At 42.7% G+C, this 21041-nt stretch overlaps 1 protein-coding gene across 4 annotated transcripts in view; it reads right to left on the bottom strand.

The window, feature by feature from the left end:
- WWOX (WW domain containing oxidoreductase) overlaps positions 1 to 21041 on the bottom strand; it is a 1113014-nt gene that overhangs the window by 946708 nt on the left and 145265 nt on the right. The gene's annotated exons all lie outside the window — the stretch shown is intronic.

The raw sequence follows: 21041 nt of genomic DNA, 5'->3' as shown, positions 1-21041 counted from the left end.
CCACATCTGTAAAATAGGGATTAACACCCACTTCATCAATGTGTTTTGAGGATTAAATGAAACTGGATGTATATTAGGCCAAGCATTGTACTGGATACAGGATAGACAATTTATTAAGGAGTCTATTTACTTGACAAATAACTTACTGAGTCCTGTTCTGTGCTAGAAACTATTTTAGGATGAAGACACAGCTGTGAAAAAAAAAAGCTGATACAACTTTGTGCCCTCATGGAGCTGACAAAAAAAGATATTCGTGTTTTTTGTTGTTTTTTTTTTTTTTTGACATGGAGTTTCGCTCTTGTTGCCCAGGCTGGAGTGCAACGGCACAATCTCAGCTGACTGCAACCTCCGCCTCCCAGACTCAAGCAATTCTCCTGCCTCAGCCTCCCAAGTAGCTGGGATTACAGGCATGCACCACCATGCCCGGCTAATTTTGTATTTTTAGTAGAGACGGGGTTTCTCCATGTTGGTCAGGCTGGTCTCGAACTCCTGACCTCATGATCCACCTGCCTCAGCCTCCCAAAGTGCTGGGATTACAGGCGTGTGCCACCACGCCTGCCCGTTCCAAGATATTTCTAAATATGAAAGCAACCCAACTTTTCATCATGATTCTTAGTCCATCCAGGCTGCTATAACAACATACATTCAACAGAAATTAATTTCTTGGCTGGGTGAGGTGGCTTATGCCTGTAATTCCAGCATTTTGGGAGGCCAAGGTGGGCCTCAGGGTCAGGAGTTCAAGACCAGCCTGGCCTACATGATGAAACCCCGTTTCTACCAAAAATACAAAAATTAGCTAGGCATGGTGCCATGCACCTGTAATCCCAGCAACTTGGGAGGCTGAAGAAGGAGAATCACTTGAACCAGGCAGGCAGAGGTTGGAGTGAGCTGAGATCGTGCCACTGCACTCCAACCTGGACGACGGAGTGAGATTCTGTCTGAAAAAAAAAAAAAAAAAGAAAGAAAGAAAGAAAGGGAAGGGAAGGGAGGGGAGGGGAGGGAAGGGGAGGGGAGGGGAAAAAGAAAAAGAAAGGAAAGGAGAAAAAGAAAAAGAAAGGAAAGAAACAAAGATACTGACTGATTTCTTACAGTTCTAGAGGCTGGGAAGTCCAAGATCATGGCACCAGCAGATCTGGCGTCTAATGAGGGCTCCATCTCTACTTCCTGTATGTGCTTTCTTGCTGTGTCCTCACATGGCAGAAGGCAGCAAACAAGTTCCCATGCGCCCGTTTTGTGAATGTAGGGGTTATCAACAAACATTGCAGCCATACCACATGTATAGACCCTGCCCGTTGAAGAATGAGTCAAGAAATTGGGTGGGTGTTCTGTCATCGATCAACTCTTGCTTATCACCCCTCTGCAGTGCTGCAAGAGGAATCTCATATACGTGATGGAAGTGATTTGTGCTTTCAGCTGAGAGTAGCACTGTATCCATTCCAAAGCTTCAGTTAGCCTCAGTCCCTGATGATCTGCAGGAATTTCTCCTTCTCTCTTAAAAAAGAAGGAACATGATATGCCACTTCCAAGATTAGGATATTTTGTTTAAAAAGAGGGGATAATTTAAGCAGGGCTGGCGGTGGGGGCGGGGAGACAATGGAAAAGGCTGACATCTCCTGAGCATGGCTCAAGAAGGCATAATTCTTCCGCATGTATAAGAATAAAACCTCTTAACTCATCTCCCAACACACTGATGTGGTGGCCCAAAGTAGGCTTTCAGGACAGTCACCAGGAGAAATGTTATCTTGTGGGCTATAACTCACCTTCTCCCAAGTGGGTCCCTGGGGCCCTCTGTGGTGATGAGCAAATTCATGCCAAATGTCACTTCGTAATGACCAAGACTCAAGAAGTGATCACCGTTACAATATTCAGATACACTTAGGGCAGGTGGCCAGAAACAAACCATCCAGAGATAAATGAACATTTTGCGCTCCACAGCAAAAAAACAAAAAAAAAAAAAAAAAAAGATTTCACAGCCAAACACATATTTCTTTGTTGCATTAAGGGAAAAGTCGTGAGATGGCAAGCAGGCTGTATTTTTAAAGGATGAAATACAGCAAGGCTGCTTCCACACTGGCCAGCCTGAGAAGCACACTGGTGAATCCATCCCAAGGCAGAGACTTCTAGAGCCTGAGAGTTGGCTTCATTGGAGGCAGGTGTACTGGGGAAAACTGATATCCTTTCTACTTACTCCAGGTAAGTGGCAGATAAATCTCTGGGAAGTTCTGGCTCAGGCATTCTTCTCATCAGTAATTACAAACCTAAAAATTACGATCTACATTTGAGTGGAACAAAATGGACTGGTGGCACTTCTTTCTTTTCTTTCTCTCTCTCTCTTTCTCTCTGTTGACAGCCCCATCACAAAGTCTCTGCAAAGCTATGATAACCTCACGGTAAGTAACAAATCAACTGCAGCCAGCAAGGGTTGATTAAGAGGCGTTTCATCACTGCATGGTGTTAATGAGCATTTGCTGTTCTTACCTGTCCTGCACTTATATCCCCTTCTCCCCATTCACCTTTGGGCAACCCCTCTTCTCTGTGCACTTCAGGGGAGCCGGACCCCACATCCTGAATTAAGGGGTGAGCACATGGCCCTGGATGGACCAATCGGAGATGGCCTCATGACTCAGGTCTGTCCAATATGCATGAAGCCCTGGGCACTGATTGGAACTTTGAGGAAAGAGAATCACTGTTGTCCTGGTCTTGCTGAGAGGACACAGTGTATTTATTTCTTTGAGAGGAAGTCTCGCTCTGAAGTGCAGAGGTGCAATCTTGGCTCACTGCAACCTCCATCTCCTGGGTTCAAGTGATTCTCCTGCCTCAGCCTCTCGAGTAGCTGAGATTACAGGCACGCACCATGTTTCCCCCAGCTTCTGGCTTGCTACACTGTGGAATGGAAGACGGATGCCCAAGAAGACCAATGTAAGGAAAGCAGAGCCAAGGGATGGAGACAGAGCATGCCCTGAAAAAATAAGGCAAGCCCATGAGAGTTGAGCAGGGCTAAAAACTGTTTTGTCTCTCCTTGTTGTTTGATAGTGTTTCAAAGCCCTCAGGGAATGCTGCAAATAGCTTCTCAGGCTATGAGAATTTCAGCTCCTACTTTTATGATCAACAGAGTAAGGGCATCTAAGAATGACTTTTTCTCAGGCTGTCACCTCCCCACAGCCCAGATGGGCCTATATTTAAAGATCCGAGTCTTAGCAGTCCAGGGGCTATCTGTCATCACAGACCATCTGTGGGACCTTAGGTAGGGCAGGTCTGTAAGTCTAAATATCCCCTCCTCCTGAGTTCCTGTCCTGTCCCCTTTGCCTGACCTTCTCCAACTGTTCTCATTAGATTATACTTCATGGAAAGGGGCATATATGCCTTATATGCTGGATGGTAAGCTGGGGACAGGGGCCTGTCATCTCTGGTGTCCACAGGAAGTCAACTGAATGGCTGCATCTGCCCCCATTATCATCTCTGAAACCTCAGCATAAGGACTAGGGTTTGCCATATAGCTGGTTCTGAATAAAATTTACTGAATAAATAAATTAATAAAGAGATTGCTCCAAACAGACTGAAGGTCCCTTGAGAGCAAATGTAGACTTCTGTAAATCTGATCTTCTAACAGGAAGATCAGAATAGCAGAATACTTTATATCTACCAGAGATTCTCTGTATCTAACAGAATGCTCTCTATCTAACAGAGATACACTGTATCTAACAGAGACCGAAATATATTTGTTGAATGAAGACAGATGCCCCATTAGCAGTAAAAAGTAATTTTAAATCCACTTACAACCAACTGGTACTATTTGTAATTCACCCTGGATAGGAGGATGTATATTTCCCTCTTTCCTTCTTTTTTTTTTTTTTTTTTTTTTGACAGAGTTTCATTCACTCTTTTTGCCCAGGCTGGAGCAGAGCGCAATGGCATGCTCTCAACTCACTGCAACCTCCGCTTCCCAGGTTCAAGCGATTCTTTCTTGCTTTCTTAAAGCCCTACTCAGATATAATGAGGCCTTGGCCTGTACTAGGTCTTGCAATTTGCATTATTGATCTAAAATTTAACTTACACAGTCAATTTCTTAATGCAAGTTATCAGAATTGGTGGAGAAAAATGTGAATTACAACTGTGATTCGAGAACCCACCACATTATAAGTATATATATATATATATATATATATATATAGATAGATAGATAGATACATAGATAGATAGATAGACAGACACACACACACACATGGCAAATGGGCCCACATACAACATGTTTTAGAAATTGTGATATTGCAAGTGGAGCCTCAAGCTGAGATCTGAGATTGTTCTTCCATAGTCTCCCTGATTCCCAAACACGTAGTTGCAATCAGACTTTTTTTCCTAAGGTTAAAAGGACAAATGCTTGCAGGTATATATGCAAAAATACATACACAGTCAATCACAGATGAAATACAAAACTAAAAAAAAATCTGCAGAAGAGAAATGGAATTTGAGTGGCTTTCTTTTTAGTCTTTTCTTTTTATACAGCTATGATACCTTTTACAAAATATTTATTTATTTATTTATTTATTTATTTTTAGAGACAGGGTCTTGCTCTGTCGCCTAGGCTAGAATGCAGTGGTGCAATCATAGCTTACCATACATTAAAAGTATCCTCTTACCTAATTTTATATGTATGTATGTATGTATGTATGTATGTATCTATCTATCTATCTATCTACCTTACCACACATTAAAATCTTACATTTCTACACGTGCAGGACTAGAATGAACACACATAAAGCATGATACCAATCTGCTTTTTTGGCCACCATATAAACATTCTATGCTAAAATGTCAAGTTGTTTCATTTTACTTAAAAAATGTGAATGTGAAATGATTTAAACATTCAAAAAAAAACTTCGAATATCAATAATTTCACTTAAAGCTTCACATCATATTTGATTAAAACCAAATATTTATGAATCAATAAAAATTTCATACTTTCATTATTACTTGTAATTTATATTTAAATTTTAATCAATAACTTTTTTTTTTTTTTTTTTTTGAGATGGAGTCTTACTCTGTTTCCCAAGCTGGAGTGCAGTGGTGTGATCTCGGCTCACTGCAACCTCCACCTCCCGGGTTCGAGTGATTCTCCTGCCTCAGCCTCCCCAATAGCTGGGATTACAGGCACGCCACCACACCCAGCTAATTTTTGTATGTTTGGTACAGACGGGGTTTCACCATGTTGCCCAGGCTAGGTTCAAACTCCTGACCTCAAGTGATCCACCTGCCTCAGCCTCCCAAAGGGCAGAGATAACTAATTTTTTTTTTTAGATGGAGTATAGCTTTGTCACCCAGGCTGGAGTGCAGTGGTGCAATCTCGGCTCACTGCAACCTCCACCTCCCAGGTTCAAGTGATTCTCCTGCCTCAGCCTCCCAAGTAGGTGGGATTACAGGCACCTGCCACCATGCCCAGCTAATTTCTTTTGTATTTTTAGTGGAGACAGGGTTTTACCATGTTGGCCAGGCTGGTCTCAAACTCCTGGCCTCAAGTGATCTGCCCGCCTTGGCCTCCCAAAGTGCTGGGATTACAGGCCTGAGCCTGTAATGTAAATGAGCCTTACATTTTTGTGAATTTATCTGGCTTCGATCTTTCAGGCTGCTGACCTTTGGATGGGGTCTTTGTGGGAACTTGTTTGTTAGTGATGTTGTTGTTTTCTGTTTGTTTCTCTTTTAACAATCAGGCCCCTCTTCCCAGTAACACTGCTGTAGTTTGCTGGGGGTCTACTCCAGACCCTGTTCACCTGGGTCCCTCCCACACCAGGAGGTGTCACCTGTGGAGGCTGCAGCACAGCAAGGATGGCTGCCTGCTCCTTCCTCTGGGAGTCTCTGTCCTCAAGAGGCATCGAGCTGATTCCAGCAGAAACGCTCCTGTGTAAGTTCTCTGGCAACGCCTGCTGGGAGGTCTCACCCAGTCAGAAGGCACGGGATCTAGGATTCATTTAACGAAGCACTTAGTTTACATTTCTGTAAACTGCATAGGATTTTATCCTATGCAGTTTAGATCATCATAAAATAACTCAATTGTTAAATATTTTAAGTTTTTTAAAAGTCTATAAATAATATAAGCATAAACATCACTGTACATAAATTTGTGGATATATCTTTAAATATTCCTTTACAATATTTTTCTAGATATGAAATTCCTAGGTAAAAAAAAAGTTTATAAAACTTTTGATAGAGATCTCCAAATTATATCTCAGAACTATGAAAATCAATTGTTCTTCCCATCCACAGTATATTAGAATGCCCACTTCTATACTTCTCAACCTTGTGTATTAATAGTTTAAACCTAAGTTAATTTTACATTTATAAAAATGGGGTCGAACATGGTGGCTCATGCCTGTAATCCCAGCACTTTGGGAAGCCAAGGTGGGTGGATCACTTGAGCCCAGGAGTTCAAAACCAGCCTGGCCAACATGGTGAAACTCCATCTCTACAAAAATTAGCTGGGCATAGTGGCGTGTGCCTGTAGTCCCAGCTAGTCGGCAGACTGAGGCAGGAGAATTGCTTGAACCCGGGAGGCAGAGGTTGCAGTCAGCCGAGATTGTGCCACTGCACTCCAACCTGGGTGACAGAGCAAGACTCTGTCTCAAAAATAAATATAAATAAAAATAAAATGGAATACAGTCTCTCTTCTAAATTGTGTCTTCTCTGCTAATAACTTTAAACATTTTTCAAATATCCCTTGGTCTTTTGTATCACTTTTTAGAGTTTTGCCAATTGTCCCATTATTTGTTTGTTTTATTTGAGCTTGGTGATTTGAAAGAGCTGCTTACTTATTAAGCAGATGAACTATATGAACAGACAGTTTTTTAAAACTCTATTTCTAACTCAAACACATACTTACAGAACTAATTCAAAATGGTGCTTCTTTTATTAACGTGGTGCTAAATTACTTTATGAGTTCTTAAAGATTCTTATTTTTGGCACGTCTGAGGTAAGGAATGAGAAGTTCTCTGTTTCCATATGCGAGCACTAGTAACACTGTTTGCAGGCCAAACACATGTTTAAAGCAGGCAGGGAAGTGAACTCTGTAAAGTGGAGATTTGTGGAGTGTGATAATGAGGCAAGTCGTTATGTTCTAACTGGTCTTAACTGTTCCATAAATGTTTCTTTTACCCTGTAAACTTTAAGGTCAAGATAATATGAGGAGTACTTAAAGTAAAGAAAAGCCATGTGGGCCTTGGCTAGGGAATATGCCCTTTTTTTTTTTTTTTTTTTTTTTTTTGGAGGGAGGAATCTGGAATACTCTTTAACTGTCGAACGAACACATAAAAGTACATTTTCTTCTCTATCATTTTTGCCAAACTCAGAATAAAAACAACTGGGCTGCATCATTCACCTTCTAGGCTGTTCCTAGGAATTCCATGGAACTGTCAAGGCCTCCAAAAGGGTTTGTTTTGTTTTTTAAAGCAGAGCCCTGGCAGACACACCATAAACTTAGCACAGATTACCCCTCGTAGCATCCGAGTGGGAATCTAGTTTTCCAAAGGAAAAGATCATCGCTGAAGGCATTTTAGTTTTCACACCAATGCAATATGTTAATACCAAAAAAGAACATGTTGGCATTAAATCTTCCAGTGAAACTACATTCAGTGTATATAGCCTATTTTTAAATCCCTTTTTAGTCCCACCAAACGGAGAGCAAACAATATACGGTAGAATTTGCTGGTACGTTAAATAAACAGTGGAATTTTTTTGTTATTAATGCTATGATATGACTGGTTTGTTTTTGTACAAGTGGCTAATATGATTTTTAAATCTTCCTTCAAACTTCATTAGGAAATGTGCAATTAATGGAGCCATGTCTCCGAAATAAAATATTTTTAATTATAGGGAGAATATTTTAATAAATGAGCAGCTCAGAAGTCATAATTGTCACACAATTAACAGATTTTCCTACATCATACTTACATACAGTATGAGCTGCATTTAAATATAGTTGTTTTTCTGGGAAACAAAGTTTGTGAGATTTTATATATATAGTCTCTGATTTTTTTAGGAGAAATAAAAAAATATTGGAAACATACTCAGTTCCTGTTTCTAGAAAGAAAAGAAAATCCTATGCAAGAGAGTGGCTATTTGTCCCACGTCACATAAATGAGATAGTACCAGAATCTAAGTCTTAGAAGGCTAAGAGTTTTGAAAGTTATCAAATCACTTTTCCATTCAAAGCAGCAGAGCATGAGTGATAATCGTTTCAAATCCTTCCAAAAGAATAAAGAATCTGGGATCTAATTTTTCTTTTTTTTAAGCCTCCCAATGCAGAAGGAATGGAGATGGAAAAAACCGCTGCGGTAGACATCAGATTCCATTCCTTGGTTTTAATTGCGTGGTTGCAGTGGGGAATGAGGAGAGTAAACAGCAGTGCCTCCCACGGAGCTCCCTGCAGGTTCTCCTTGTAGGAGTGAGATTTTGCTGGTGATTTATATTGTTTGAGACATACCCAAAGAGTCTTGTGTCACTCAATCCCCAGCTCCATCCCTGGCTCGGAGGAGCCTGCACCGCCTCACGGGAGCCTGTAACTGTCAAATGGCATTCCCCGAATCCATCAATACTGTTTGCTGCCAAATAAATACCCTGCTGCTCTACAGGTTGCAAATATTTCAATCATTGTGCAGATCTGCACAAACTTGGAAAGAAAACTCATGCAATCTCATGGCCTTATTTCCCCTTCCTACATAAGAGAAACATACATGCCTAAACCTTCACTTTCCAAATGTTTACTAGAAGATTAGAAAAACAACAGATGACAGGCAATGTGTCAGCCTAGAAGAATCACAAAAATCCTTCTTTAAACAATCTAGTAGCCAGATGAAGACCCCACGCCACGAGCCTGTATGTGGTTAAGAAGTTCATGGGGCGACCCCATTCCTTCTGATTGCTGCGAAATGTAAAAGACACGGCCTCAAGTCCAAAGCCTAATGTGCCATTAAGAGTAGACTGCCTTGGCCTCACCTGAAGCAAATGCATCTAGACCTGTCTGACTCTTTGACTCACAGTGCAGGAGATTAGGGATTCCCTGTATGGTTGTTCAGTCTGTACACTGAACAACTCAGTTGGTCAACATTTACATAGACTACGAAATGATAGAGACTTCTACAGGTATGCAATCACAGATGACAGCTTGTGTGATTCTAAAGGGGGGCGTCTGAGGCAATCTACTACCATTCACCAATGTTCTGCTCTACTCTCTGTTCATGTTTCTGTACATCAACCATTCATTCAGTCATTCAACAAGTATTCACTAAATGCAAATGAAATGTCAGTCTCATCCAATCCTTCAACCACCTTATTTGGCAGACACTATTCTTCCCATTAGTCCCATTTAGCAAAGGACAGTTTGCTAATGACCCTCTCCTGGCCTCAGTTAATTGAGGCCAGGAGAGGGTCATTACATTGCCTAGGAGGGTCACAAAGCTCTGTCCTCCAAGTCTGAGTCCAGTACATTTCTCTCCTGGACTGAGCTACCCAGTTTATTGGAGCAAAAATTTCCTTTCTCACCAATGAATTTAAGAGTCAAGTTCTCAAGAGAAGCTGGAAGGTAGGGTCAGAGAGATTACAGTGAGAAGTGAAGCGGTAGAGGCCAGTAGGTTTAGAAACCAGTGCTGTGGGCTGACAGGGGGTGACAATTTCCAGCTTTGGTTCTCCTCATTTAGGAGAGACATGAAGTCTCATGGTGTGGTAGACAGGCCACACAAGACTGGAAGTCTGAAGTGTGCTCACTTCATGGAGTAAATGTGTAGCCTTGAATGAGTTACTTTTTTTTTTTTTTTTTTTTTTTTTGAGATGGAGTCTTGCTCTGTCGCCCAGGATGGAGTACAATGGTGCAGTCTAGGCTCACTGCAACCTCTGCCTCCCGGGTTCGAGTGATTCTCCTGCCTCAGCCTCCTGAGCAGCTGGGACTACAGGCACATGCCACCATGCCCGACTAATTTATGTATTTTTAATAGAGATGGGGTTTCACCATGTTGGCCAGGCTGGTCTCAAACCCCTTACCTTGTGATCCACCTACCTCAGCCTCTCAAAGTGCTGAGATTATGAGATTACAGGCGCGAGCCACTGTGCCTGGTCGTGATTTACTCCTTTCTTTGAACTTTAAGTTCTTCATCAATAAAATGAGAATAATAAGACCTCATAAAGCTACTGGGAGGAGTACATGGATTTATAAGAACTAGAAAAATGTCTGGCTATTGTGGATGTTCAATAAATGATGGGTATTATTATTATTGACTGTTCTTGGGATGTGTTCTACTTGGGTGTGTCTCTGGCATCTCAAGTGTACGTATTTTCCTAAGTGGGGTGTGTGTGTGAAGGAAGAAGATGCCCTTCTTTTGTGCCTCGCCTTCCCCAAAAGACATCAGGAGAGTAAACATGCCCCCTATAGTGCCAAGAGAGAAAAATGTAAATTCTTTTGGATAAATTAGCTTTTGCAGCTACCTCTCTCTTTGCTATGACTTCTGTTTCTCCTCTGCTTAAGCAACAAAGAGAGAAGTAACCGCAAACGCTAATTTATCCAGCGGAATTTACATTTCTCTTTCTCGGCAATATAGTTTCTTAGTGTCTTCCAAGTTTTTAAATCCTTTAGGTTTATTCATTATGTTCCTTTTTCCTGCTTCTAAAAGGTAGCTGTTCTTGCCCACTGTTTTGGAAGTAAGAAAACCTAGGAGCTGTTCTGTAAGCTCATAAACATAGTGTGCCAGAAACTGACTAGAAGGACAGCAGGGGGACGGGGGATCTGAATGTGCCAAGACAGTTATACCCTTATGGGTTATGGCAAACATTAAATGGTCTAGAAAATCAGAGGCCTTGGAAAAGACTTGTAAAAATAACAATGTGAGAACTTAGCATAAAGGCCAGGAACATGAAAGGGGAAGCCATGGGTGGCACATGTTGGAAACTGTGCTGGAAACACATCCTGAACTGCTCTTGCAAAGTGAGGCCTCTTAAGCAGTTCCTGCAATCCTCCTCCCAGCCCTCCATACCAGGCAGACCAAGATGTGCTCCCAGCCTCTGGGCAGACAGTGGGTTTTCAACAACCCTGACTGGGGCTGAGGTATGAGAGGTGCATATCAGAGCCCCAAGAGGGCTCTTAGAAAGGGAAGTTGGCCAGATGTGGTGGTTCACACCTGTAATCCGAGCACTTTGGGAAGATGAGGCAGGCAGATCGCTTGAACTTGCGAGTTCGAGACCAGCCTGGGCAACAGAGTGAAACCCCATCTCTACCAAAAAATATAAAAATTAGCCAGGCATGGTGGCAGTGGCATGCACCCGGGTGCTCAGGAGGCTGTGGTCCCAGCTACTTGGGAGGCTGAGGTGGGAGGATCACTTGAGCCTGGGAGGTAGAGGTTGCAGTGAGCTGAGATTGCTCCATTGCATACTAGCCTGGGCCACAGAGTGAGGCCCTGTGTCAAACAAAAAAAAAAAAAAAAACAAGAAAGAAAAGAAAAAGAAAAGTGATGGAACAGAGGTGGTGAACCTCTAAGCAAAAAGATAACATGGATTTTCTGGGGTGGGGTGGGGTGGGGATTAATGATCAAGAGAAGAATTCAGCTGGGTGTGGTGGCTCACACCTGTAATCCCAACATTTTGGGAGGCCGAGGTGGGAGGATTGCTTGAGCCCAGGAGTTCGAGACTAGCCCTGGCAACATAATGAGACCTGCCCTCCAACCCTGCCACCAATCTCTACAAATAGTTTCAAAAAAAATTTAGCCGAGCTTGGTGGTGAATACCTGTAGTCCCACCTACCAGGCAGGAGGATCGCTTGAGCCTGGGAGGTTAAGACTGCAGTGAGCCATGATCACGCCACTGCACTCTAGCCTGAGTGACAGAACAACTCATTGTCTCAGAAAAAAAAAAGAAGAATTCTTCACGAAAGACATTAAAAAAGACCATCACACAGAGACCTCTCAAAAGTTATGCTAGCTAAGCCACTACACCAGATTTTCTGAGTAAGCAGCTATGCGATGAGCTTCCCGGTTGCACTCAATTTGTAAGGCAAAATGAAATGCCTGTTGAGTTGTACCAGGGGAATGCGAGGCTGGAGGTGGGAAGTGTATGCCGAAAGCATGTACGTAAGCTTACCACCTTACATTTTTCTTTCCCAAGTCACCAGGACATAGCTCCTACAATTAATCTCTTGGGTTTTATTTAGTAAATTCCATTTTAGTTGAAAGTCATGTTGTTTATGCTGCTCTAAGACTCTTTAAAACTAAATTGAAGGTTTATGTTAGTAAAGTTAAATATCTTATTTCTAATATCCTAAATATATTTACGATATCTTTGGAACACCCATTTGAATCAACCATTAAACCAATACTGTTTGAACAGGTTTGTGAAATCATGGCATTCATGGGTCATGAGAAGACGGTCAAAGCACAAAAGTGTGACACTTCTGCAGATACTGGAACACAGTGATGACTTCCATCATCCAGTTCTGCCACTTACTAACCCAGTGATCTTGAGCAGGGTACCTAACTCCTTTGCACCTCAGTTTCAGCTATAAAGCGAACATCATAATAATGTCTATTCACAGGGTTTCTGTAAAGGCTGAAAGTCGAAGCACATGCAAAACACTTTGTGCATGGACTGGTAAAATAAGAGTTAATATGTATTAGATATGGTTATAATTATTATCATTACTATTATTAATAAATTACTGGCTTCAGACATGCTAAGTGTTATATGATGGAAAGAGTACTTATAACTTTAGAAGCAGGACCTTAAGTAAATTACTTAATCCATCTGAACCCCAATTCCCTCTCTTCAGTGATATAGGGAGAATACCAAAAATCTTTCAAAAATTAAAAGACACAAGGAAGTAGATGCCAAATTCATCTTTACTTTCTTGCAAAACAGAGCTGGAAAATTTGAACAATTGTTCCGATCTAAACAGAGGGTATGGTCCCACATTTATAAAGGGCCTACGTAAATAGATGATATTACTGCCACTGTTTGCGTTTCTATCAGCCCCTATGCTGAATAATCAATAATGAATGTTGTTTAAACAAATGGTGTAATTTTGCAATCTGTGTTGTTCTAAACCGACCTTTACTCCTTATTGCCATTTGTAATGCATGCATAATTCAATGCTGAAGCCGAGGGAGAAATAAGGATGTTGGTCTAAGTGGCCCTTTTTGGGTTGTTTTTTGATGATTTGCTATAATCCTATAAATAATACAAAGCTTGTCACTGTAAATATGTATTGTGTTATCTAGAGGTATATTCAGTGGCTAAAACAATAAAAGCTCGTCTACGTCTCCTGGCAATCTCAAGGCATAATTAATCGCTGGTAAGATGTATTCTAGAACGTGAGAGCCCTTAAGTAGAAGGAAAAATAAAGGCCATTGTCAACACAAATGCTAAAAGAAATGCCTAACGGGCATAGTCATTTGCCATCTGGGAAAAGTGTTTGCTAGTGTACTTGTTTGGAAGGCAAGAAGGATGATTCAAAAGGGATTTTTGTTCAGGTGGTGAAGAAGTGTGTGTGTCTGTATGTATATACATACCCACGTAGTTTTTAATAAATTATAAATCAAGATGTTTACCAAGCTAACTTGTCAATTTTAACTCATTTCTGTTATTTGTTTACACACACCTCCATCTGACAAATATATACAAAACAATGTATGTGTATGCACATATACATACATATGATTTTTTTTAAATAAAGCATAAATCAGGAGGTGCTCAGAGCTAGCTTCTGTCCATTCTAACCCATCTGCTATTTGTTCACTTGCACACACTCACTGTGCAATAAACCCTTTCAATGTGGGAGACAAGTGCAAGATGCCCCTCTTTCCCCAAAGGGCACCTCTGTGTGCTCCCTCAGATCATAGCTGATGACATGTCAATGAAACGGTGCTTGCTCTCATCCCAGAGATCAAAATGAGGGCTTAACCTGCAATTTACTTTACAAGTCCCATGACACTTGCCAGATCTGAAGACTTCATTCTAATCTTCCCTGTTGAAAAAATAATCAAATACTCCAACAAAGATGTATTGACAACTCTTAATTAACCATGCTAATGGAGGGAAGAGATAGCATGGATAAATGAAATCCACACATAACCCAAAACCTTCCTTCCCCATTAATTTCCAACTTCTTGACTAAACCTTACTGAGATAAGTGGGTGGGGAGTAGGGAGAGGCTGACTAATCCTTTAACGATAGAATTACTTGATGTCTACATCTGTACTATGCCAATCAGCTGTTGGACAAGGTAACAAGCAAGGAAGTGGCCAAGGACACCATGTGTTCCCAAAGCATCGGGGTTCAGCGGTAATGTTTTTGAATCTTCTCGGGTGTAAGTAAATATATTTCAGACAGCTTTTAGAATGAAGTTAGCTAGAAGAGTTTTGCAGCAATAGAAGCTGATTTGATGTAGACCTTCAGGTTTCTTATCTATTTATTGGTGCTGCTCAGTTGGATGGGAAAGAGAGGAGAAGCTGAGAGACGCCTGGCACCTGTACAGAGTGAAACAGGCAATGCTGTGTAACGAGCAGTTGACAGCAATGAATAAGGGTTGCAGAAATGGCAAAAGAGGGCACCAAATTAACCAAAGCCTAGGGAAGATGACGAAGCCAGAGTATTCATTAAGGGACCAGATGAACTAGCATTTATTGAGCACCTTCTGTTTGCCAGGGCATATAAGAACATACTGTGATGAGGCACCATGAAATACGACCTTTGAACAGAAACTGGGTAAAAAACAAAAGTAGGCTTCCTCCTCCTCCTAACAGCATCTAGTGCAGCCACATTAGATGGGAAGAGCCAGAACTAGGCAAGTTATTCCACTCCCTGATCCTCAGCTGCCTCGGTTGCCATCTCTGCACCTGCAGGGTGAACACACCCCAATAGCGGTAACGTAAGCATACCCTTAGAATGATCCTGTGTGGGAGATGCACCTGAATGTGTGGTCCGGGCTGGGGAATCCAGGAGTGACCAACCCAGAGATTTGTCCCTTATATATAACAGACATCTGTGCCCCATGCCTGTCCCGTGGAACACAGGCCAAACAGGGGATTGAGGTCCTGAGTTTGGAGTTAAATGAAGATTGCCAGGTAGAGGTTGTTAGGGGGAGGGTGTTAAGTGAAGGTGTGATATAAACCACATGACATTTGCAGGTGGTTATGGTTTTCCTGCCCAGCCCACCGCCACCACTGGACTGTAGGGAGGTGGATATCCTGTCCAGCCTACTGCCACTGGACCATTTCTGTATGTAAGGTGGGCAGTTGTACTATCCAGCCCGCCATCACTGGACTCTCTCCCCTATATGTAACCTCCTAATAAAACCCCATGTCTATCTGTTGGCTCTGAGTGTCTTCTTCAGCTCTTGAACCTGGTGCCTTTCCTATTGAGGTTAATAGGGGTTCAGCATGACAGCACCTCCACCTCCCATGGCACAGCATATGTACCCAATAAGCAGTCCTTACAATACCAATAGTTTCTATCTGTTGGGCACTGCCAATTAGCCAGGCATGTCAAATGGAAGATCTCACTTAATCTTGCCAAAAAAAAAATGTTGTTCGTTGTTGTTCCTTCTATTACAGAGGAAAAAACAAAGGCAGATGGAGGTTACATTATTTGCCTAAAGTTACACAGCTAGAAAGGAGCAGAGTTAAGAATCAAACCCCGGCCATCCAGCTCCAGAACCGAGCTTGTGACCCTGGCATGGGTATTTCCGGAGCTCTCGCTAATGTGCCAGATAGACGTTGTGCTAAAGAAATGATCTGTGTGTGTTTTCTCATTTAATATCCATACAGCCCCCTAAATTGGAGATTACTACTGTTACACAAATGAGGAAACTGATCTTGGAGAGGGCCAGTCAGCTGCCAAGGTCACAGAGCCAGGGAGTGGGGGTGGCTTGCCCAAGGCCAGGTCTGTCCCTCCAGGTGAAGGTAATGATTAAGAACACAGGTCTGGAGTGGGTTTGAATCACTGTGTGTTCAGCCGCTCACTGGGGACCTGGCCTCAGCCCTCTGATTACTGCAGGGCTTTATTACTTTCTGAGTTCTCTTTGCTATCTCACTCGCCCTTTCCTCCCATTTCTCCTTCTGGTGCCCCTTCTCCCCTTCCAGGCCCCCAGCCCCCAGCCCCCACCCCACAGCCATCTCTGTATTAAATGTTTGTGGAATGTTCACCGTTCAAAAGCCACGTTCTAGTTTGAGGCTTTCAATTCTTGGGAAGAAAGGGGCCATATAAATACAAAAAATCAAGTCCGAAATGTTGTTGAAATGATCATTTTGGTCCACCTAAGTTTATACAAAAACATTTTCCATGCTCTGATCTCCCCACTTGCACTGTTGGGTAGCCCAAGTTCCAGATGAACGGCCTTCTCACCTGCATGCTGAAACCAGCCGAGGCTGCTGCCACATTAAAAACTCAGCCCAGGCTGCTCCTGAAAATGTTTCTGCCCTCAGAGCCACGTACTAAAAATTAAGGGGATTAAGGGAACTCTAGATTTACATTTAAAATAAAGGAGAAACTCATTGGAGAGGCTAATGCGGCGTGCACTGGAGGTAGCTACTATCACTAAGCATTAAGATAAACAATACGAGTGGCATTCTGGCCCACGCCTGGCAAAGTGCAGGAGTCCCTGGAGGAAAAGGAATGAGAGTGCATCAGCGACCTCGTGAGGCAGTGCAGCTTTGCATTAATGCCTGCAGCTCTGGAGGCGGACTTCCTGGGTTCACATTCACAACACCTCCACCGCCACCACTCCATGAGCTTGGGAAAGACATTTAACCATTCCATGCCTTGTCATCTATAAAACGGGGCATGACGCCAGACACGGTGGCTCACGCCTGTAATCTCAGCACTTTGGGAGGTCGAGGTGGGAGGATCACAAGGTCAGGAGATCAAGACCAGTCTGGCCTGGTGAAACTCCATCTCTACTAAAAGTACAAAAAAATTAGCTGGGCATGGTGGCACGTGCCTGTAGTCCCAGCTGCTCCGGAGGCTGAGGCAGGAGAATCACCTGAGCCCAGGAGGTGAAGCTTGCAGTGAGCCAAGATCGTGCCAGCCTGGTGATGGAGCAAGACTCTGCCTCAAAAAAAAAAAAAAAAAAAAAGGCCGGGGGGCATAAGTACTTCCTCAGAGGGTTGTCCTGAGGACTGAATGATGTCATTTAATTCACATTGATATGGTTTGAATCTGTGTCCCCACCAAATTTCGTGTCAAATTTATTTATTTATTTTTTGAAATGGGGTCTCGCTCTGTTACACAGGCTGGAGTACAGTGGTGCGATCTCACCTCACTGCAACCTCCACCTCCCGGGTTCAAGCAATTCTCCTGCCTCAGCCTCCTGAGTAGCTGTGACTACAGGTATGTGCCGCCACGCCTGGCTACATTTTTGTATTTTAGTAGAGATGAGTTTTCACCGTATTGTGCAGGATGGTCTCAAACGACTGAGCTCAAGCAATCCACCTGCCTCGGCCTCCCAAAGTGCTGGGATTACAGAGTGTGCCACCGCACCCAGCCTTCATGTCCAAATGTAATCCCTAACGTTGGAGGTGGGGCCTGGTGGAAGGTGATTAGATCATGCGGACAGATTTCTCATGCATGGTTTAGCACGTATGCTGTGTGGTGAGTTGGCTCTCCTGAGATCTGGTTGTTGAAAAGTGTTTTGCACCTGCCCCCTTGCTCCCTCTCTTGCTCCTGTTTGCACCATGTGAGATGCTTTCCTTCCCCTTTGCCTTCCACCATGATTGTAAGTTTCCTGAGGCCTCCCCAGAAGCCAAGCAGATGCTAGCATCATGCTTCCTGTACAGCCTGTGGAACTGTGAGCCAATTAAAGGTGTCTTTTAAATAAATTACCCAGTCTCAGGTATTTCTTTATAGCAGTGCAAGAATGAACTAATACACACATAGAGGATGGAGCACTCTGCCCAGCTCATGCCAACACTCCATCAATGTTAGTACTTAGCATCAGCATTATGTTGCATAGCTGATGATTCATATACACATTACTCCCTGCAATCAATGCCCAAGCCTTGCAAGATATGTGCTTCAATCCCCACTTTACAGAGGGCTATGGATCGCCAAGGCTCCACCTGCAGTTGGGTTCTACATAAGTGTCCTCTTTCCTCACATCTTCAGTAAAGTATGAGACCTCCATCAATGCCTGCTTGGGTGAGGAGCACAGGTGGGTGAAAGGTAAGGGAACAAGTGGAACTCCATATCCAAGGTAGGCACAGTGTGGACCAGAAGAGCATCCCTAGGACAGTGAGGTGATCCACGGACTGACCTGCCCCAAGGCCAGAGACGCAGGAGTGGAAAGTCACATGGAACCATGAGCTTTTATAAGGGGCAGGGGGCAGGTGTTGGGAAATTGCAGAACTAGTGTTTGAGCAGATGCAACAGATCCGAAGGAAATAGAGATTGCAGTTGAAATCTGGGTCCAACTGGCCCTATCAGCTGCATTCATGTGTTACCTCCCTGGTCAGCTGTACCCTCCTTCAGGATTAGGACTGCATCCTTACCAATGCTGAGTCCTCTGGGATCCCCAGAGGCATCTTTTGCACCCATGGCAAAAAAAAGAAAGGTGGGCAGCAGCAATGAGAACCATGTCCACTAGGTGCAAGTAATAACGGGTGCATTGTTCGCTAAGGACTTAAAAGTATTAATAAAAGTGACCAAAGTTTAACTGCTTTTTATCATCACCATGCTTGGTGATTCCAAACAATGTCAGTGAAAACAGATTCCTCCTGCTGGCAGGGGGGCGGCCACACCCATCACACCCCCTCTTGGCACCGCCATGATTTTACACACTGCACTCAACAAATATTCTCTGAAGGGCTGAAAAAAAGGGGGCTGGGGAAGGGCAGAAATCCTGTTGATTTCTGAGCAGCAAACACGTAAACATAACTGACATTAAGATATACAAAATACATCTTTCAAGGAAAGATGTGCCATTCTTTCTTGTGTGAAATAAAAACACCTCCCCATGCAAGATTCCAACTGCACAGACTGATACTGCTATGGTCTGACTGGAAACAGGACATCTTGCATTCTTGTGGCTCCGAAAATCACTCTGGGGTCCAAGGATTTATTTCCTCTCTCGGGAGTCAGGGACAGATAATAAATACCCCTCATCAGCTGATCAATTGCTCGCACTTCCAGGCAAGCACCCATCACTCCCCACCAAACACACCGCCCCACGCCACCTGAACAAGGTTAAAAGAACGGACTCATGACTGATGGTCGGGGGGAACTGGCTTCAGAAGAGGAAGTTGAAAATATTAAGAAATCAACACGGGCATTTAAAAGCAAAGCCTTTTCCATGCCACAGAAGACGTTTTGCTATTCATCTTGTTCCCTGACTCTGCTTCACCAACTTGATGGAAGATGGTTTAACTGACATAAAAACCAGCTATACATGAACAGCAGTGATTGATGGAACCATTCCAAACATCAGCCAAAAATGGCACTGAAAGATGCCTTGGGCTTCCTGTTAACTGTTTTATGAGGGGACCAACAGGTTTCCCCCCTCTTCTTTAAAGAATATATTAGCAGTACAAGTACTTTCAAAAACAGGGTAGTGTTATACCAAGAGAGAAACAGAAGGGGAAAAAAAAGGTAGGAGGTCTTTTGCATGTTAGTATATGTATGAAGGGAGTTAGGACCTGGCAAACTGGGTTATATGAGGCTTTTTCCATACACAGCTCTTTGGTTTCACGGTACATGATTTAAATAGGTTGTATTTAATTCCATGTAATAACAAACTGTGCCATTAAGTAGTTCTCCTGTACAAATGCAATGTTTCAATGGCAACAGAAAGAAAATCCAGCCTTTAAAAAATGCACAGATGCTCCAAATGAGCCATGATAAAGAAAGGGGTGGGGAGCGGGATGATCTGCAAAAAAGAATGAGGGAAGGCAGATTTGTACCACTTGTGCTAAAGCGTGGAGCCTTACCATTCAGGGAGAATGAGACGTTTGCAAAATGGCATCCTAGTCTTTGAATGCTTCTTAATATGGAACGGACGAGAACAGAGGTGGCAAGAGGGTTAGAATTCCCCCTCTTTGTTCTCCTTTCTGGAATGGAGAGGACCTTTTCCTGCCTTTCTTTGCTCTTATTTTGAAGAGGTTAATTATGACCTGGAAGCGCCCAGGCACTTGGGTCTCAGCTATTGTCGAGGAAGAATATTGTCTGCGCTGTACCGCAAGAACTAACTTAGGAAACATTCAAATTTGGAACTGCTTTCAGAAGCCTCAGGACCGATTCCATGTGGTGGCATTCTATGGGATGACAAATCCCCACTCCGTTCCCACTACTTGTCTTTGAAGACATGCACATTAGTGAGGCAGAAAATTCACTCGACTTTAAAATAAAATAAGCTGGTTATTTGGCCCATCTAGAATACATTCGTATCTCAACATTTCAAATCAAAAGGCCCACTTATTCCTGTCCTCATCCTGGCTCTGAAGCCAAGCTCAAGGTGCTCTCAATTACATGGTAGATTTCTGGCCCAAGTTAATATGTATCAGGACTTCTCAAGCGTTTGTACCTTTGACCTAGAAATTCTACTTCTGGCAAATCAATCCCATAGAAATAATTTTAAATGGGAAAAATGCTTTAGAACCAAAGATGTTCGTGGCCATGGAAATGACGACTGAAAAGAGTTAGTGACAACCTAAAAATACAGTTAGAAGGAGAATGATGAACTAAACCGTGGTTCCTCTCATTGGTTTACTAACATGTCCCCATTCAAAGCACTGTTCAGGACCGTCTAGAACAACCTGGAGGCATGCTTTTAAAATGTTAAGAGAGAAAAGAAACTATTATCCATATGGGATAATTAACAATGTGTTAAAAATATACATATCTCTGGAATATTTGAATTGCAGGAGGAGAATTAATTTAGAGATAACAAGCAAATCCATCACGAGTACATATGCCACAATTGTAACAAAACAAAATAAAACAAAATGGCCTGGGCATTTGAAACTACTGTAAGAATATGTGCCAAAATGCTAAGAGTAGATATATATTGGAGGATTTTCTTTTTCAATCTT

The sequence above is a fragment of the Homo sapiens genome, chromosome 16 (genome assembly GCF_000001405.40).
Source record: "Homo sapiens chromosome 16, GRCh38.p14 Primary Assembly".
In the NCBI taxonomy this organism is placed as follows: Eukaryota; Metazoa; Chordata; class Mammalia; order Primates; family Hominidae; genus Homo; species Homo sapiens.
The sequence above is the reverse complement of the archived record's forward strand: the minus strand, read 5'-3'. Positions and strand labels throughout refer to the sequence as shown.